Source organism: Homo sapiens, chromosome 13 (assembly GCF_000001405.40).
Source record: "Homo sapiens chromosome 13, GRCh38.p14 Primary Assembly".
Lineage (NCBI taxonomy): Eukaryota > Metazoa > Chordata > Mammalia > Primates > Hominidae > Homo > Homo sapiens.
Window position 1 is genome coordinate 43,279,305 of NC_000013.11, and position 21,777 is coordinate 43,301,081.

Sequence of the window (21,777 nt, forward strand, 5' to 3'; positions counted from 1 at the left end):
TTTCAAAGGCTAGCGTGATTAGCTCCATTATCAGCTTGCTGTGCAAGCTTGAACAAGCTACTGCTCTGGTCTCCTCTTTTCCCCAAGCCTTCTATCCTTACAACTGCCAAATGAGGAATTATTGATCATTCACAAAGCAAGATATCAATGAATTTCTTGACTACAGAACACAGTAAAGGTAGATGTAAAAGTGGTTTGGAAGGCTCTAAAATCTATTTTCTCTTCTACAGATGATTTTCTTAACACTGTAATTTGCAGGGTCATCTCAGGTTCCCGTTTTTCACTTTCTTCACATGTTAAATAAATATAAGAATACTTACCAGTGGGATATTGTATGACTAAAGAACATGTGTTAAGTATGTGATGCTCCTTGAATGACAAAAGGTGCCCGCTGAGTTAAATGAAAGTGCTGTCATTATCCTCTTTGCAAAAATGGAAACACTAAGTCCCACGAGGTGAAGTGACATTTAAGTCATATGAGTGGGCAGTACTGGGGATTAATATTCAGAGAGAAAGGTCGGTTGTTCAGCCCCAGCCTAGCCATGCTGGGTGCACTCCTTCAGCCCATGCTGAAAACATAGGCCAGCCAACTTGAATTAACACCATTCATGCAATTCACAAGAGAAGGTGTCAAATACCTTGCTGAAGTAGGAACATGTATCAGTGACATTCTCTCCCTTGCCTTTGCTGGCAGTTCTTCTGCAAATGGTAATCCAATTTGCTTGGATTTATTTATTCTTATCAGTTTTGTTTTTTGCAATTATGTGAGGTGGTCATCACCCATCCTCTGGGCACGTGTACAGTTGTTAATGTAGAAATTTAAAATATTAACATGCTTTCCAGCCAGGTTGGCCCATTTACTTCAATCAAATAAGAACTTGATGGAACAGCTGGGTCTTGCACTATGCCCTGAAGGCCTACAGAAATTTGTTCTTTCTTTACAGATTTTATAACCTAGTCATGATCAGAGATTACAGCTAGAAAAACCCCTATGGGTGACTTGTAGCCAAAGACCTGTGGCCCTCTTTGGAGGTACCTTTTGCAAGCGATCTGGGCCTCATTCAGTTTAACCACTGGAGAACCAAACAATAACTTGTTTTAGCATCATTAACAACAGATATTACCATCATCACTAGTCTCTTTGGTTGCAGGTTTAGGAAAGAAGCTTTTGCCTTAATCATTATGGAATAAGAATGTGTTGGAGTCCAGAGAGCTTTTAGTTGAATCTTAATGGTGAGAGTTGCAATGATCTAGCCTGTTTTGCAGATCAGTGAAGAGAGAAAATACAGCTGAAGGTCTGATCCATCAGCCATAGATGTCTGACTAAGGATGGAAAACTTTATTATGGATTTAGAAGGTCTGTATCACCTATATTACTTAACTCCTGATAATTGTAGAACTTTAGTGAAGTTAATCCAATGATTACAATATTCCCAATTTTTCTTTGTTAATACAAGTAAACATTTTTACAACTAGGAGAATCACACATTTAGGAGCAGGGTAAAGAGAGAAGAATAGCTCTGAACTTAGCACATTTAATCTTTAGGTGGCTCTGGAACAAGATATGTAAATAAATGGGCACATTCATCAATCACTAAGGGAAGTGAGAGGGAGAGGAAGTTTGCTCCTTCCCCCAAAGTTTCCAAGTTATTTAAACACATTTAGGCTGGTCTGGAACCCAACATTTTAGGAATGTCAGAGTAACTAGAACCTTTGGAGGTCTCCAAGTTTCACCTATGCCCTAATCCAGGGTCAAGCCCTGGATAAACTGGTGAGGGCTGCATTAGACAGGAACAGTTTCCCCATAGGCTTTCAACCACCTATAGCAACTACTGAACCTCTGAACTATCTCAGATTTGCCCTGTCTTTGAACTTCAGACTCTCTGTAAGGAAAAATAATAATAATAGCAGCAGCAGCAGCAGAAAACCTCAACAAATACTGCCATTGTGAAATGTGCCACATATTCTTAATACCTGCTGCTGAAATCTATCTGGCAAAATACAATACAGCACCACCATCTTGCATAGACTCCAAAGTGTAGAAAATTATCATCTTAAACCAATCTCCTCTGCTTCAGAAACATTAAATATAGAAAGCATTAAAGAAGTGAGCCGAGTTAGACCTTTTGCAATAAATGGTGTCAGCATGGCCATGAATGATAACAGCAAAAAAGGCCTCCAAGATATGAAAATTAAGAGAAATTAGAGCCCCAGCTTCACACTTATTATTAATATCCACATGCCTGTGATGAAGTGCTCCTCTAGCTTTAGCAGTCCCCCTACTCTCAGTTGGCAATTGCATACATTTTAACATTGCATGTGATGTTTACCCGTGAAAATTTCCAATCACAAGTTTTGCTGAAGTCATCTGAAAGTCCAGCTGCTCACAGTGATGGCACAAAAAAGATGATCATTTGTGATATATGGGTATTTAAGTTTTCACTGTAGAAATACGGGAGGGATAACACCAAGGTTAGTGTTGATGACTTTTCAAAAGGGAAGAATAGGGAGACCACGTTTTTAGGGTCTGCTGGTAGACTTTATGTAGCAATCTTTTTCTGCTTCCAGGGACAATTTGAAAATGTAAATCATGATACAAAGCAAGTGACATAAATCAGTTGCATTCTAGTCCAAGTGATTATATGAGGATTGAAAGAGATTATATCGGGATTAATCTGGGAAGGTTAAAAAAATCACATTTTGTCACTGAGGTTGCTGGGGATAACCTTTAACAGGATAAGAAAGTTCCTTTCTATTCCAAGTTGTTAAAACCTTCATTTTTCTTGGTTGTTTTAGTTTAAAATCATGAATGGATATTTGGTGGCCATCAAAATGTTTGTATTATTCTGGTTTTGCCTGTTAATGAGATCTATTACATTGATAGATTTTTCAAATGTTGAACTTACCTTGCATTCCTAGAATAAATCCAATTTGGTGATTTATAAAATACCAGATTAATTTTGCTTTTCTAAAGGAATTATAAATCTTTGTTTATAACTGAGCCTGGCCTATAATTTTTTGATTTTAACTTTTAACTGTCCTTGTTTTATTTCAGTATTAAGTATACTAGCCTTACGAATTAGTTGGAAAGTGTGTCTTCCTTTTGTGTTCTCTGAATGAGTTAGTTAAAGATTGGTATTCTTTTTTCTTTTTTTTTTTTTGAGACAGGGTCTTGCTCTGTTGCCCAGGCTGGAATGCAGTGGCTCGACTGCAGCCTCGACCTCCTAGGCTCAATGATCCTCCTGAGTAGCTGGAACTACCGGCATGTGCCACCATGCCTGGCTAATTTTTAAATTTTTTATAGAGACAGAGTTTTGCCATTCTACCCAGGCTGGTCTCAAACTCCTGGGCTCAAGGGATCTGCCTGCCTTAGCTTCCCAAAGCGCTGGGATTACAGGCATGAGCCACCACACCCACCCTTGGTATTATTTTTCTTAAATGTTTGGTAGAACTTGCCTATAAAGCAATTTTGGGTCTGTTGCTTTGATATAAAATTTTAAGCTATTGGCCAGGCGCGGTGGCTTATGCCTGTAATCCCAGCACTTTGGGAGGCTGAGGCGGGTAGATCACGAGGTCAGGAGTTTGAGACCAGTCTGGCCAATATGGTGACATGCCATCTCTACTAAAAAAATACAAAATTAGCTGGGCATGCACCTGTAGTCCCAGCTGCTCGGGAGCTGAGGCAGGAGAATCGCTTGAACCCAGAAGGCAGAGGTTGCAGTGAGCCGAGATCACGCCACTGCATTCCAGCCTGGGTGACAGAGCGAGACTCGGTCTCAAGAAAAGAAAAAAAAAAATTTAAGCTATTAATTCGAGCTTTCAATTTCTTTCCAATTCAGTTTTGATTAGTTATTTTTTCCTATTGAAATTTGTCTGTATCTCCAAAGTTAAAAAATTGTCATAAAACTATTCCTAATATTCTTATATTTCTTTAGTCTCTGTTGCATCTATAGTTATACCTTATTTTTAATACTGTTTTTAGGTTGTTCTCTTTTTTTCTTGATACATGTTGCCAAAGATTTTCCATTTTATTCATCTTTTCAAACATTTGGCTGTGTTGATCTTCTCTATTGTATGGTTGGTTGCTATTTTAGTTATTTTTATTCTTTGTATTATCCCCTCTACTTTGTGTTTATTATTTTTTGTTTGTTTATTTGAGACAGGATCTCACTCTGTTACCCAGGCTGGAGAATACAGCGGTGTAATCATGGCTCACTACAGCTTTGACCTCCCAGGCTCAAGGGAATTATCCCACCTCAGCTTCCCAGTTATCTGGGACCACAGGCACGTGCTACTATGCCTAGCTAATTAATTTTTTTTTTTTTTGTACAGATGGGGTCTCAGTATGTTGACCAGGCTGGTCTCAAACTCCTGGGCTCAAGCATATCCTCCCGCCTTGGCCTCCCAAAGTGTTAAAATTACAAGTGTTAGCAACTGTACCTGGCCTATTTTTTTTTCAATAGAAATTGGATGCTTACCTCACTGTTACTAGTTTTTTTTCCTAAAACAAAGTTTTAAATTTTTCCTTTAAGTTCTGCTTTAGCTGCGTCCCACAAGTTTTGATATATTATGTTTTAATTATCAATTACTTCTAAGTATTTTTAAGTTAATTCTGATTTCTTTTTGAAGCTGTAAAAATGATGTATGTTTTAAACTTTCCAGATATACAAAATTTATTTTAGTTATTTTTGGCACTGATTTCTAACAATTTAGTGTGGTCAAAAAAATACAATACCACTCTTTTGACATCTGTTGAGATTTGCTTTAAGGCCTAGTATGGGATTAATTTTTGTAAATGTTCCCAGTATATTTGAAAAGTATGATTTTCTTTATATGTCCTACATATTGAGCTTATAGTAGTATATATTTACAATGTTATGGACTTCACAGTTAGGCCTTTACAAAAACTTCCTGAAAGTGAAGTTAAGTGGCACTGAAGATAAGAAATACAAACCGTTAGGAAAGAAATATAAACACCAGAGAGAAGAGGACAAGGTGCACGGAGAATGAGAGAACAAAATCATGGCATACCACCCTATGTTTAAATGACTGAAAAATGTGTAACACACTGACTCAGCAAATGACTCAGTATAAAATGTAAATCATGGGTGGAAATATACATATCTTAATACCATGAATGAGAATTCCAAAGCTGGCCAACGAAAGCCACTCTGACTGAATCTGAGTGATACCTGGTTTAAAATAAATTAAGATGGTAATGGTGGTGGAGGGCATAAAAAATAGAATGCAGTTGTCTGGTGGGTCAGCAGGATGAATTAAGAGAACAAAAGGAAGAAGAAAATATGATAATTTATTTTTATCTCTTTGAAAAGTCACTGTGTTGGTCTTTCATTTATAAGCGCTACTTATTACACTCTTCCTTGGAAACTTACTGACAAAGTTCAAATATACTTTCTTCTTTATTTTCTTCCCCAGTAAATAAGGCTGTTGTGGCTATTTGTTAAAGGTGTGTGTGTGTGTGTGTGTGTGTGTGTGTGTGTGTGTGTGTAAGAGAGAGAGGGGAGATAGGAATAGAGACAGAGACACAGAGAAGAAACAGAAAGCGCAAAAACTGGAAACTGGAGAGGTAATGAGAGGCAATTATAAAAGAGGAGATAGAAATATGTAGAGAAGGAGAGTCAGAGACACAGAGAGAAGAAACAGAAAGTACAAAAACCAGACAGTAATTACCAGATGGAAGAAGCTGCACATAGATAAGAACTTGACCATGCAGGGTGTATTCACTGATCAATTGAGTGAGATGGGTGGTCTGTAAAGTGAGGACCAGATTGGGCACTAACTTGTTTAAGTTTCCCTTGATGACTATTCAGGGTGCTTTGTTAAACAGAGGAGAAAACATAGTCTTTAACTAACCATCTAACATCTTGGAACTGAATTCCCAATTCCACACTTTGGTTACAATTCCAGACACTTTAACTGACTAAGTTTGGCTGTTCTATTGGCCAGTATTTAAAAATGATTAACACTCTATGTTTATATATATATGGAGAAAAAGACTGAAAGGCTATATGTAAATGTTAGCAATAGTTATATCTAGGTAGTGACATTATGAATGATTTTTATTTCCTTTTATATGGTTCTTTTATGTTTCCAAGTTTTGTGCATTGAGCATAAATTCTTTTGTAAAATGAAAAAATAAAACAAAAATTTAAATGACAAACCGAGACCCAGGAAAACTGCTACTCCCACCTATATTTCTCTTCCTCTGTGCTTTCTCTTAGTCATATAAGAAGGATTTTTTTTGCCGAGGCAGGCAGATCACCTGAGGTCAGGAGTTCGAGACCAGCCTGGCCAACATGGTGAAACCCTGTCTCTACTAAAAATACAAAAATTAGCTAGGCATGGTGGCAGGCACCTGTAATCCTAGCACTCAGGAGGCTGAGGCAGGAGAATAGAATAGCTTGGACCTGGTAGGCAGAGGCTGCACTGAGCCGAGATTGCGCCACTGCACTCCAGCCTGGGTGACAAGAGTGAGACTCTGTCTCAAAAAAAAAAAAAAAAAAAAAAGAGGAATTCCCCCCTCTTCTTCTTTCTTCTTTGTTCCAATGCTGTATTTCTTTGTCCCCCCATCAAATTTCTCCCTGCATTTTCTTCACTGCTTTCATTTCTGATGAGAAGGAAATTGGCTGGTCTTCCTAATCCTGTTGCCTCTCCTAGCCAGCTGCATAGAGGAAAGCCCTGGAGCATGAAGACCCCCAACTGCGGCCGGAGTTGAAATGGGTAATTACATCAGTCTGGCTGGGAGCAGGACACCTGCTATAGACAGCCAACCATGTTGCTGGCAGGGTTCAGGGCTTCAGTGTGAATGAGTCGGCTTCTTGGCATTGGTAGACTAGAAAGAAATGAAGTCAAAGCCAGACCACAAGGAATCATTTTAGTGTCCATAGCTGGAGGGAGAAAGATGACAATGGTCAGCGTGGTAGGCCAGTATATGTCTGCAGCAAAAGTCCGCTTTGATGTATTACATTTAAGAAAAGATCCATTTCACTATAAATCTCGTACTCATCATGTGATATAGACTGTAAGTCAGGAGGCAGTTTCCAAAAGAGGCAGTGAAAGGGAAGGTCATTCAAAGGTCATTTAAAGACTGCCAGGAACACAGCGTTGGGAAAAGGAGAGTTCCTTTATCCTGGGAATGGAAGTCTACTGGAGAGTCAGGATTTCCCATTGCAGACATCAGGGAAAGCAGCAAAAAGCAGAAGTCAAATGATTTTAATAGTCTGCAGGGCAATGCCATTATTTTTGCCCCTGGCTCCTACATTGATTTGTCTGCTAGCCTCATTATTTTGAGAAGGAATGATTACTAATGAGGATGCATTTGATGATCAAATTAATTAATGGCAGAGCAGGATAACTAATGATGAGATGAAGCCTCTCATAGTTAAATTTTATTAGGGCTTCTCTTCCCCTTCCCAGAAGTGAATTCAGAGATTTATTTTCATGATTCAAATTTAATAAAAGCTGCATCTATGTTACTTTCCTTTCGCAGGTTCTTGCTCTGCTAATGCAAAGACCAAATTAGGGGCTATGACACAGAGTCAGAAAATAGGCAATGGGTTTTTGCCAGTAATATTTTAGCAATCTATCTCCAAGCATATGAAGGAGGGAACTTCTTGTCTTCTGCTGTCTTGATGACTGCAGTTCTGAAGCACTGCTTTCAGGGTACACTCTGGAAAGCCATGGTGTGGGGTTATAGAGGGAACACAGGGGCTCAGACAGGCCTAGGCTGCAGTTCTGACTCTACATGGTGTACCTGTGCCCTGGGTCAGTCACCTGACACCTCTAGGTCTCAGTTTCCTACTTGACACACTGGGACAGTCACATACCCCTGAGTTGTTGTGAGGACCGCATAAAATAACATGAAGGTGCTTTTGTGAGTTAACTGGAGAGACTGGCCTTCCTGTTGTAAGGGGCATTGGAGTAAACAGCACAGGCCACCCTGTGTCAGGAAATTATGACCTAGACTTGTCCCGACTAACTCTGTGAGCCTGAGTCTTCTTTTAAGCCTCAACATCTTTTCATATTTTCACCTGGAATATGGCAATGACAGTTCACACTTGTGAGTAGCTTTTCAAAATGTCCTCACGTACATGATCACATGTGATGTATGATTTTATCGTAGCAAGCCCTTACTGAGGTTGGAGGCACCTGGTCTCCAGGAGAAGAACTGGAGGTCCAGACATCCTGAGTTTCCCAAAGAAGTACAGAAAACAAACAGTGAAGCTGAAGTCACATTTTCCTTCTACTAGTTCAGTGTTTTCATTTCATTATTCATGCCCTTAGGTGGCATCAGTACGGCTTATCTTCTTCCTCATCTTATGACCTCTGGTCAGTGAAGACGGCAAGATACTCAGTGGGCCATCCTCACTCAAAACTGCTAAAAAACATATAAGGAGGCTTCCTCTCATCTTCATTTTTAGTCTTTGTATCTTGTCCAGAATCAAAAGGAAAAGTGCTCTGAAAAGTCCCAAACCTCTTACAGATGTCATGTGTGATCCTTTCAAACAGGTAGGGCTTTGTAATGTAAAGCCCTGGGCCGAGAATTGGAGAATTGGTTTCTATTTCTGGTTCCAAATGGAGCCAACCGTTCCTTCAAGAGTCTCACACTGAAGTGAGATACTTACCTTCTTAGGATGTACCAGGAGTGTAATCTGCAAATGTCAGAAAATGCACACACTGCCAGCAGGAACCCTACAAATGACCTTGAACAGCCTAAAGAAAGGTGCCAAGGAATTATGAGGATTATCATCTTGTGGCCTGTTATTATAATGCACCATCCCAATATTCTTGGCCGAGGAATGGATAAAAAATGAAATTACAAACCCTGGAATAGTTAAAGGAAGACCATGGTGGACCCCAAATTTGGCAACTCTTGTGAACCTTGATGTTTAAGTCACTAAACCTTTTTAAAGCCGTGTAATCTGAGAGATGTACATGTTTTAAGATTTTTCTGATTCTAGTAAAATGTCGGTGGCTTTTAATATGAATGTGGGAAATGTCTTCTGCATTTCCCACAGCCATATTCTATTCTATCCTATTCAGAAAGAAAGAAACTTAATCTGGGTTGTCGAAGAATCAGATAAACATGGGGTATGTCTTTGCAGCCACAGCTTGTAAAGACTCCAGGTTTTTATATGTGTATGTCTATTTATACATACACATATTTATTTTTTGAGCTTTTTAAAGCTGAATATTTGACTACTTGTACATGAGAGTCTAAGAGAAAACTCCTTTCTCTACACTGTTAATAAGATTTTCTTGCCCTGTCCAGTGATACTGAATTATTTTCTGCACTAATGTATAATCTGTCATATATTAAAGATATTAGGATATCATTCTTCCTGAATGAGCCAATAACCAGATCATTGTGTATGGGCTATTCCTTCCTTCTAATTGAACATTTTTGAGGCTCATGAACTCTACTTAGAAGGTAGATCCTCCTGATACATTGCAACTTAATTTCCAAACTTTCTATCTTTAGTTTTTTTTTACATTCTACATCTAAGTATTTACATCTTTCATAATGGCTCTTAAAATTAGTAAAGTTTCAGGATACAATAACTGTGTACAAAAATCAGTAGCACTTCTATTCACCAACAACATCCAGGCTGAGAGTGAAATCAAGAATACAACCCTACTTACAATAGCCACGAAGAAGATAAAATACCTAGGAATACAGCTAACCAAGGAGGCGAAAGATCTCTACAAGGAGAACTATGAAACACTGCTAAAACAAATCAGAGACAACACAAATAAATGGAAAAACACTTCATGCTCATGGGTTGGAAGAATCAATGTCATAACAATGTTCATACTGCCAAAGGAATTTACAGATTCACCACTATTCCTATCAAATTACTAATGTCATTCTTTACAGAATTAAGGAAAACTATTATAAAATTCATATGGAACCAAAAAGAGCCCCAAACAACCAAAGCAACTCTAAGCCAAAAGAACAAAGCCAGAAGCATCACACTACCTGACTTCAAACTATATACTAAAAAACCACAGCAACCAAAACAGCATGGTACTGGTACAAAAACAGACACCTAGACCAATGGAATACAACAGAAAACTGAGAAACAAAGATACACACTTAACAACCATCTAATATTTGACAGGACTGACAAAAACAAGCAATGGGGAAAGGACTCTCTGTTCAATAAATGGTTATAGGATAACTGACTAGCCTTAGACAGAAGATTGAAGCTGGACTCCTAACCTTTCACTGTCTACAAAAATTATTAACTCAAAACCGGTCAAAGATTTAAATGCAAGACCTCAAACTATAAAAATCCTAGAAGCCAATCTGGAAATTCTCTTCTCGACTTTGGCATTGGCAAAGATTTTTTGGCTGAGTCCCCAAAAGCAATTGTAACAAAACCAAAAATAGACAAGTGGGACCTAATTAAACTAAAGAGCTTCTGCAAAGAAAAAGAAACTATCAACAGAGTAAACAGACAACCTACACAGAGTGGGAGAAGATATTCACAAACTATGCAGCTGACAAAGGCCTAATACCCACAATCTCTAGGGAACTTAAATCAACAAGCAAAAGCCAAATAACCCCATTAAAAAATGGACAAGGCACATGAACAGATACTTCTCAAAAGAAGACACACAAATGGTCAACAAACATATGAAAAAATGCTCAGCATCACTAATCATCAGAGAAATACAAAGCAAAACCACGAAGAGATACCATCTCACACCAGTCAGAATGGTTATCATTAAAAAAGTCAAAAACAACAGATGCTGGTGAGGATATGGAGAAAAGGGAACACTTATACACTGTTGGTAGGAATATAAATTAGTAAAGCCACTGTGGAAAGCAGTCTGGAGATTTCTCAAAGAACTTAAAACAGAGCTATCATTCGACCCAGCAAGGCCATTACTGCGTGTATACGTAAAGGCAAAGAAATCATTCTACCAAAAAGACACATGCACTCACATGTTCATTGCTATGCTATTCACAATAGGAAAGACACAGAAGCAACCTAGGTGCCCATAAATGATAAATTTGATAAGGAAGATGGGATATACATATATATATATATATACACACACACATACCACAGAATACAACTACAACCATAAAAAAGAATGAAATCATGTCCTTTGCAGTAACAGGGATGTAGTTGGAGGCCTTAATCCTAAACAAGTTAACATAGTAACAGGAAACCAAATACTGCATCTTCTCAATTATAAGTGGGAGCTAAACACTGAGTACACATGGACATAAATATGGGAGCGACAGACACTGTGGGCTGCTATAGGGGAGAGAGGGAGAAGGGCACGGCTGCTGGATACTATGCTCACTACCCAGGTGATGGGATCTGTACGCTAAACCTCAGCATCACGCAATATTCCCATGTAACAAATCTGCACATGTACCCTCTGTATCTAAAATAGAAGTTGAGGCTGGGTGCAGCGGCTCCCGCCTGTAATTCCAGTACTTTGGGAGGTTGAGGCGGGCAGATCACTTGAGATCGGGAGTTCAAGACCAGCCTGGCCAACATGGTGAAACCCCGTCTCTACAAAAAATACAAAAATTAACCAGGCGCAGTGACACACGCCTGTAGTCCCAGCTACTCAGGAGGCTGAGACAAGAGAATCACCTGAACCTGGGAGGTGGAGGTTGCAGTGAGCTGAGATCACACCACTGTACTCCAGCCTGGGCAACAGAGTGAGACTCCATCTCAAAAAAATAAAAATAAAAGTTGAAAAAAATTTTTAAAAGCTCTTAGAATACAATTTATCATTACCAAATGTTGAATTTTTCTTTTAAAGGGGTTTCTCTTTTTCCATTTTTCTTGTCCTTCTATGCTTGTGCATTTTCCTTTGAAAGCGGTTTTTAACTGGAGAGGAAGAACTGTTTGTTCTTCTGCATCCCTCACTACTTCTGCACATCCTTCCCATCCCTGTGTCTGGAACGGACTCTACTGTTCTGTGTCCTGCACATGCATGGGGGCTTAGGCGTGCCCTGCTCTGGACCATTAGTCCTGCCACCTTCTCTTCTAGAACAGGGAAACAGAAATAGTGTGGAGAGCAAGTTCACTATCTATCTTTGTTCCATATTTCAACCTCTTCATGTCACCTTTTCCTATTTGTCTTCCTTTCTCACTTTCAGAAACTATTTTACTTTGTGCATCTGCCTCTTCTTGCTGATTCAGCTATCTTCACTCCAAAGTGTGCCACCTTAAGTTCCCTTGTCCTTCCTCCTAGACATTCATGAACCTGCTTGCTGTTCCTCCTTTCTCTATATGTTTCCGGGCAGCCAGAACAATTTGCAATACTCTCCATGCTTCCCACTGCACCACTTCCCCCTGCCCCACCCCAGCCACATGGTAACCAAGAATTCATTCAAAGACTGGGTTAAAGGTAAAGGCCCCCGAAACAGGCTCCTGTTCAAGATGTCAGAGGCAATGTATGTGTTTGTATTTTCTTCCTCCAGAGACTCAATTAAAATATCTGTCAATGAATAAACTTACAAAAACAAGGAGAAAGGAAAGTGAGTTCCAGGAGTTCCTAGTGTATGACAGGTTCTGGCATTCAAGGGATCCCCACATCTCCTTAAAATGAAGCCTGCCTGTCAAAGAGCTCTTGGCTGGCCACTGCCCAGGAGAAAGACTCGGCCACGCAGCAGATCCAGACACAGCAATGAGCAAAGCCACAGAGCTTCACAGAAAAGCAAACCAAGCCCTCCACACCTAAATATACACAGACTGCCAGCCATCACCTTGCTCATGAAGAAACCTGTACATAAAAGAGAGAGACTGAAACACAATAGCTAAACAACTAATCCTGGAGTAAAGAGAGATGATTCAGGAACCACAAAGATCTTAAAAATCCTACTTAGTATTCTTAAAAAGATTTGAGAAGATACTGCACCCATAAAATACGAATAAGATTGCATGAGAAGATAATGATTAGAGGACAAAATAACCTCTTGAAAATAAAATAATATGATTACCAAGCAGAAACTTCAATTGGAAGGATCAAAGATAAAGTTAAAATGGAAGATACTAGGAAAAAGATGATGGGCATGGAGCGCCCACCTATTAGGTCCATTATCTGACTGGTGGGTATTTCAGATAGAAATTAAAAACAGAAGACAAAAGTGAAAAATGATCAAGAAAAAGGAAAGCCTCCTGTCACAAACTCTGGTGACACTCTGTGCTCCTGCCTGCAGCCCTGCATTTGCTCAGTTCTCTGGAGCACTACCTTCTGAAGTTGGCTGGGAGCATCTGGTCTGCTGCACTTTTGAGGCTTTCCACAATTTTTAAGGGACAAGGTTTAAAAAAAAAAACCCTATAAAATATTAGTGAATATGCTCATTTTATCTCTTTCCCTAAAGCTTTCTAATCATTAAAAGCACCAATAATGCTACCACAGCCTCCTTCACCACCATAGCCACCAACACAGCCATAGCCACCGTTGCCACTATGGCCCCTTCACCACCATAGTCATCATCCTCACCATAACTACCCTTCATCACCACAGCCAACATTACCATCACAGTCACCATTTCTACCCCAGTCACCATCTTCATCACAGCCACCTTTAACACCATCCTCACCATGGCCATCACCACAACCACAGCCACTAGCCCCAACATGGCCACCTTCTCCACCAAAGTCACCATCCTTGCCACAGCTGCCTCCATCACCACAACCAACATTAGCATCAGAGTCACCATCCCCACCACAGCCACCTTCACCATCACAGCCACCAACACAACCACAGCCACCATCCTCACCATGGCTGCCTTCATTACCACAGCCACTACAGCCATTTTCACTACCATAGCCACCATTCTCACCACAGCCAGCAACACAACTGAGGTTACCACCCCCCTCACAGATGCCTTCATCACTACAGTTGACATTACCATTAGTCACCATCCTCTCACTACAGTCACCGTCACTACCACAGTCACCACAGCTACCTTTACCACCATAGCTAATAAGGCCACCACAGCCAGCACCCCCACCACGGCCATCTTCACCACCATAGTTACCTTCACAAGCACAGTTACCTTCTCCACCACAGCTACCTTCATCACCACCCCCACCATAGTCACCAAAACAACCACAGCTACCATCCTCACCACAATCACCCTCACCTCCAGAGCCAATATCACTACTGCAGTCACCTTTACCACCATGGCAACCATCACCTCCACAGTCCCTTCATCTCCAGAGCCACCATCACCACCACCCCTAACATTATTATGATCTTGATTTTGACATATAACATCAGACTTAATTACATGTGAGTTTTGGGGAGGAATTGAGTGCAAGCTTTTCTCTTTCTCTAAAAAAAACGTACTTACTAAGCAACTAAATAGTTTAAACAAGATTGCAGAAGACATGCTGAACTTACCCAAGGGGTCAGATGTAATCACTATGTTTAATTTCAAAAATACTTTCATTTATTCCTTAGCAGATATTCCAAAGTCTGACTCTTACCCAACATCTGACAAAACTAACTGGGGTTACTTTGTATTTTAGGAAAGTAGTAATGTTATATTTCTTCATCTTCCATAAAATTAGTCTAAGTGGGTGAGATTTTAACAATGCATACACAGAAAATCACACATATGTTCTACTTTGAGTATAAAGAAAAAAATGCTTGTCACTTAATTTCTAAAATGCTTTTGATCATAATCATCCTACTTTTCCCATTTTTTTTTTCCTGATCTTCCCTTGCTGAAAGTTGTCAAGACAGTGGACCAGGCCTGCACCTTACTAATGTCAAGCTAAGAGTGTGAGAGAGACTGCTCCACATGGGCCACTGGCTTGCTGGCCTAAGACAGCTGGTCTTCAGACTAGATTTAACACTGTTCAAAAGCATCGGCTTATTTAGGAAGGAGCCCTTTGACATAATCATCATTAGTCATACGCACTTTTATGATCAGCAGTTTTTAATGGTATCCTGCAGTTATCCAAATATTTATTAGTCCTGTCAATATGATTTACACAAGGCTTCAAAAAGAATTCTGATTTTTAAGCGGATTATTAAAAAATTATGACATGTTGACCTATCCTCATGAATGAAAATAAAAATACTGCAAATTTGTGTGTAAATAAAACCATAATGAGATATCACTATAAATTTACTACAGTAGTGAAAAAAGACAAACTGACCATGCCAGTGCTGCCTGATGAGGATGCAGAACTGGAGTTTGCAGACAGTCCCGAGGGAATGCATGATGGTACAGACGCTTGGGAAAAGAGTTTGGCGGTTTCTCTGAAAGTAAAACACACTTGCCATATGACCCAACAATCACATTCCTAGGATTTACTCAAGTAAAATGAAAAATTATGTCTACACAAAAAGCCTGTAAGTGAATGTTTATAGCAGATTTATTCCCATTTGTCCTAAACTGGAAACTATCCATCCACTAACTATTGACTAGACAAACAAACCACAGCTCTTTCTTACGGTGGAATACTGCTCAGCATCAGAAGGAATGAATGCCTGATACGTACAGCATCATGGATCAGTCTTAGATTCATTATGCTAAAGAAAGAAGCCCAACTCAACAGGTTGCCTACTGTTCAATTCCCCTTATATGATATTCTGGAAAAATAAAAGCTATAAGGGTAGAAAACAGAGCAGTGGTTGCTGGGAGTGGGGCTGACTCAAAAGGGGCAAGAGGCAGCGAGTGCTGGAACTGATTTATATATTGATTGTGGTAGTGGTGGTTACGTGACTGTATGCATTTGTCAAACTTCATAGAAGGTATGTCTAAAAAGAATATATTTCATTGTATGTAAATTTTACCTCAATAAACCTAACGAAAGAATTCAGTGTGGTAACCTGAAGAAAAATAAGAGTTTAAAATATGTATAGTCTTTACTTGTACACCTAAAAGTACAAATGAAAGTCAAAAGCCTCACTATCCCTGTGGCAGAGACAGGTTAACTTCACTGCCAGTTTAAGATCAGGTAAAGGCTACCGTGTTACCATGGATACAAGCTCTTATTCTCTTTTGTATGAAACCTTTCATATTATTAAATTGTGACTCACATGGTGCAGGGGTAAACTCGGAAACTTCCAGACAAAGTCACCCAAGAGTTTTTCCATGTTAGGAACCCTGCCCATAGTGTTTTCTTCATGAACACATGCAAAACTGTGTGATGTCAGTGAACATATCCTTAAGGGGTTAAAGAAAGAAAGGTTAGAAAATTTTTGGCTAAACTGAAGGCGATTCCAAAAGCTGTCTGCTAGTCCTAAGGTCATTAAGGCTCTTTCTTTTTTTGTTGTTTGTTACAGAAATAATTTCCCAAACATAGACTGGAAATGGTGACATATGGGAGGCTGACCCCTCCTCTCTCTGTCATCTTTCATGTGAAACCATGATTTTCTGATTTATACAGTGGATAGTGTGGAGATTGAAGGCAGGTTTTAAAGTCAGGCTAATTCTTTGTGGTGGGATTCAAATTAGCAAATTGTGGTCATTTATTCATACAAGGTAGATCATGATAGAAACAAGACTTTAAAAAGCACTTATATTTTAAAACTCTGTAAAAGATGTTCTGCCACAGAGATAGCCATACACCGCCTAACAACCAGTAAACATTAACATCATAGCAGCCACCGGGGACCCAGTGCTTTCTGTAGGTTAAAGAGGCACACCTCTCAGGCCTTGGCTCTCCCGCTCCCTGTCTTGCTCTTCATGATCCAGGATCCCACACAGCCCAGAGCTCCCATAGGCACCATGCTAGGCTTGCCTCCAGGTCTTTGTCTATTCATTCCCTCATTTGACACAGATATTTTGACTGTCTACTACGTGTCTGTTATGGATTGAATTGTGCCCTGCCCCCCAGCCCCAAATCCAAATGTTGAAGTCCTAGCCCCTACTACCACAGAATGTGACCTTATCTGGAAATAAGTCTTTGCAGATATAAGTAATTAAGATGAGGTCATCCTGGAGCAGAGTGGACCCCTAATCCTACATGAACAGTGTATTTATAAAAAGCAGAAATTTGGACACACACACACGGAGAATGACAAGGGATGATGAAGGCAGAGAGCAGGGTGATGTTTCCACAAGTCAAGGAAGGCCAAAGATTTCCAGCCAACCTCCAGAATCTGGGAGAGAGGCAGGAGTCAGACTCTTCCTTACAGCCTCAGAAGGAACCACCCCTGCTTTTGGACCCTAGATCTTGGACTTGTAGCCTTCAGAACTGTGAGACAATACATTTCTGTCTCAACTACATTTTTAGCTATATAAAGTACATTTCCTACTGACAAGGAGATTCTGAAAAGTTATGAGAAGCTCCCTTAACTGAATCCCTCCATCAGGAGGATGGCTCAGGTGGTGATTTGGAACACTGCTCCTTTGTGGACCAGGCACGTGGCTCCTCAGTGCTTCTGCAACCCTGACTGAGCAGCTCACCCTCGCCTCCTCTGACTTCTTTTAGGTTTGAATTTGCAATAACCTAAAAGACTTTATACACTTTTAAAGCAACTGGGATAATCTTTTCTAGAGGGAGAAAGGGAGAGTTGTGTAAAGTGTGACATAGTGGCTTTTGGGCTAGGTCTGGCGTCATGGTCTTTGGGGAAATCGACGGCCTCTCATCTTGGCGAGGGTGCCAACAAACACCCAATGTTGGGGCACATGGACAACCCCAGAAGTCTCACACAGCAGCTGTTACATCGATTTTCAAGTACAGAGACTTGAGCAATAACTGTAATGACATTTTCCTGGCTGGCTCTGACCTCTGAATCTCACTGATTAGTCTAACACACACTGTGAACATCAACCAGTTAGGACTCTAAGCCAAGACTCAAAAATTGCTTTAAAATGGCAGAAGATGTTTAAGATATAATTTGTACGAGTTGGTTATTAACTTGTTCACTTCCCAATCCGTGATTCTTTTTTATACTCTCCCTCTCAATTATTTTTCCCTGTTAGGTTGATGTATCTGTAGTAGTTACCTCTAATCACTAAGATACTTCTGTAGGCAATCCATGCTCTGGATGTTACAGAGCAGTCAATATGGATGGGGGAATTAAAAAAAATTGACTCTATATATTTTAACTTTCCATCATTCTACTTATATTTCCCTTGTTTAAATAAAAACAATCTTTTTTTTTTCAGAAAATATTGATTGGATTTGTATATTCAGAGGGATAATTTAAAAATACCCATGATGATAATATATGCTCTGTTATTCTAAGGTAACTCAAAGGCCCAAACACCTTAAGAATATCAGGTACCAATTGACGTTTTCAGATACAAATCTGACTGTGAATCTTTGACTCTATTCCCTCACTGCCAACAGTCAGATTTTCCCCTCCTGTCGACATTTTATATCCCACAGTACCTGTTCCTTTTCCCTACTCCAAAGCCCTCAACTTTCATTTCCTTTTTAACAATTGCCATAAATATACATCTTTAAATTCAGTATGCCAGGATGAGGTCTGGCACTCTTCAACAAAAACACAGCTATTGCCCTGTTTCTAAAGTTATTTATCCCCCAAAACTCTGATGCTTCATGTATTCCATCAACAAACACTTCTTAAACACGTAATGTGCTCAAAGAACCTGACTAGATCCTAAGTGTAATACAGAAAAAGTGGAAACAATATAATTTACATTTACACTAACCTTGAAGACAGACAAACAAACTGCTTTTGTAAAATCAGTTGTCGTGCTTTGAAGTTAAAAGTTCTAAGATTACAAAATGCTTGTATCATGCAGGGATCTGCTAGGTATTTGCCATGGGGCTATATTTCACATGCAGCCTTTCAATCTCCTAAATCCAAATCATTTTCCTTTATTTCCTACCTCCAGGGTGATTTCTTCAACATATTTTATTGGCTTGGCTTTTCTCCAGATTCTACCCTTCCACAAACAGTCATTAGCACTTTTCTGTCCTAGTAACATAGCTTTTTGGTTGTCATTTCTTCTCCTTCACCCTTTCCAGCACACGGCTGCCTTTCCATTTTCATTTAATACACATATCTCTTTCTCTCAAAAAAAAAAAAAAAATCTGGGCCAGGTACCTGCTGCATGCCTTGCATGGTTTGCTGCAGAAACTGCAGTTGCTGGTCCTTGGTGAGGTTTTCTTCTGTTCGGAAAAGCTGTTCTTTTTCTTGTTTCAGCAGCTCCACCTCATTCCTGTAGGCATCCAGCTGCCAGCGGAGACTGTCATTCTCCTCTTTCAGAGCGTAGGCCTGGGCAGCCAGGGCTGAGGGACAAACAGAACGAGTTCAGGTGAGCTACCTTCTTGCTTAGCTTGAGGAGGCCTTCTGTGGGAAAGGGAGTCTGTCACCCAAGTTCTTAATGTTTGTACCAGCTCAGAAATAAAAGCAAAATGCCACTCCCTGGGCCTCTCTTTTGTAGTCGGTATGCATCACTTCTCTCGGAACTTTTATCTATTCTGTTTGTCCTGTCTTACATGTGAATGTTTCTTATGGGCACAGGATTAATTCCTCCCAAATTCTCATCCCTTGACCTCTCCCTCAATGCTAGACACCCTCACAGACATTGGTATGTGGTGCTAGGTGGTGACAACATTTAGAATTCCAGGCAACAATCATATCTACTAAATATTGTCTTCCCCCTTTCTACGGGATTGCTTAGCTACTTGGAGGGCTGCTTGCTTTCAAATAATCAGCAGTTCCACAGGTTGAGACATGCGGCAGCATCCCAGGGGAGAGAGGAAATTATATGCACACCACTCCTTCCTGCTCTACTGCTGGGACAAATTGCACAGATTGTTTTCCTCCAACTCCTATCAGAATGGGAAGCTAGTTCCATCTGTTTCACCAACAGATTAAAACTCTTTTCCTCTACAAGGCTGAGTGGTTACTCTAATACCTCTCCCTGAAACCCCAAATTCTCCACATTTAGATTCAGACTTCATTCATATGTCTATCTTATTAAGAAACCAAGACAGTTAACTCAGGGTCTCACACATCTCAAGGCTTCAGAAATAGCCGAAACTGAAAAAGAAACAAATGGTACCAAACAAAGATTGAGGGTAGGGAAATCCCTTTCCCTAGTTTCTACCTTATTGCTTAGGGGTCTCTCCGAAAATCAACATAGCCTGCTGAGCACTCATAAAGCACTGGATCAAGAGCTTTGTATGAACTCACTCACTTCATACCCCCACCAAGCCTGTGATGCCGGTGCTGGTCTTATGCTCATCTTTACAGATGAGAAAAATGTGGCACAGAGAAGTTATGTAACTCATCCAATCCCACAAAGTAAGTAGCAGAAAGCCTTCACACCCAGGCTGCAGGCTCCAGAGTCTCTGCTCTCGATTACCATCGGTCCATGTGTTTAGTTCTTACCAGGCTGTTCAAAACCAGTCTCACATTCCCCCACCAACTCTCCCACCACTCTCCCTTTAATCTTCCCCCTCACAGAAAAGCCATTCCCCACTTGTGTAAGCAAGAGAAAAGTGAAAGAAAATTTGAAACGCTTGTTACCAGAAACTTCAAACATGTAACTTCCAGTAGATAAGGGCACGGTGTGGAGCCCACTGCACACCAGGTCGTCAGTGCATGCGCGTTTCCAGCCCCCGCTCCCCGTGTCAGAGGACCAAATCAAGGTCGCCTCCTGAGTGTTCTACCTGCACATTACAGTTCCATGGTGATAAAGCTTTACTGAGGTTCTCTGAGACCACAGTGAATTCTCTCCTCAAATATCAAATGTCAAATTATGTTAATAATAGTTTTATAGTTGAGTGTTTTACAGTACTCCATCTTGCAAAATGATAATCTCTGTGTAGTACACACTGAACTACTAATCAGACAGAACATGCAATTACCCAGAAATTTCCCTACCTCAAGCCAGTAGGGATCAATTACTTAACACGCATTTACTTCATATTTACTGTGCTCAGGTCCGTGAGGGCATCTCAGACCACAAAAAGAGGAGACAGAATACATCTCTTCTCTCAAAGAGCTTAATCTAGTAGAAACTGACACATTTAAAAAGAAACTATTGCTTTCAAAGGAAGAAAGGATAGTGTGATGTCTGGAATACAGCAGACACTCAATAAATGTTGGTTGAATGAATAAATGAATAAATAAATGAGTCGAGATGCATGACAAAAAAATGCATCCTATAGGAGTTCAGAGAAGAGAAATAAAAATTCAGACTGAAGGAATAAAAGAGGGCTTTGGAAGATGAAAACCCCAAGAACTTGGAAAGGATGTCTCTCAGTCAGAAGCCAGAGCATAAGCAAAAGCCCAGATATGAAAATCAAAGGTAGAACACTTGGGGCAAGAAGGAGAGAAACTCGACCAAAAGCCAAGTGTTTGCCTGGAAGCAGTGAGAGAAAGGGAATCCACGTCAGGTGATGGGAGAAGATGGGGAAGGTTAGGTTCAATGGAGTGGCCAATTGAGAACCACTGACAGCGCTTGGAGTAGTGGAAGGACATGATGAAATTGGGATTTAGGAACATTAGTTTGGCAATGGTGCATGGAATGAACTGGAGGCTGAAGAGAATGAATAAAGGAGATTTCATTTGGTGTATGTGTGTGCAAAACCAAGGAGCAGCCACTTTTACAGTTTTCAGAGACCTACTCATAAAATCAGAAATTATCCAGCACATAACCCGCAGCATGAGCCAGTGCTTTTTAACATTGTGCAGCCCAGCTTCAGATCTTGTCCACACCCTGAGATACCACCTCCTGACAGCTCCGTTTACCAAGCCATAAGGAAATGGTTATGAGGATTCATTTGTGAGAGGGATGTTGTAATAGGGCAAAATCACAGAAAATGCAAA

At 40.1% G+C, this 21,777-nt stretch overlaps 1 protein-coding gene across 27 annotated transcripts in view; it reads right to left on the bottom strand.

Annotated features, from left to right (window-relative positions):
- The window catches only part of ENOX1 (ecto-NOX disulfide-thiol exchanger 1), a 573,843-nt gene that overhangs the window by 66,175 nt on the left and 485,891 nt on the right, over window positions 1-21,777 (bottom strand). For all 27 annotated transcript variants that reach the window (NM_001347965.2, NM_001347963.2, NM_001347971.2 and 24 more), the window contains one exon: window positions 19,042-19,226. In NM_001347965.2, coding sequence (NP_001334894.1) covers window positions 19,042-19,226 — 185 coding nt within the window. The remainder of the gene's footprint in view (window positions 1-19,041; window positions 19,227-21,777) is intronic.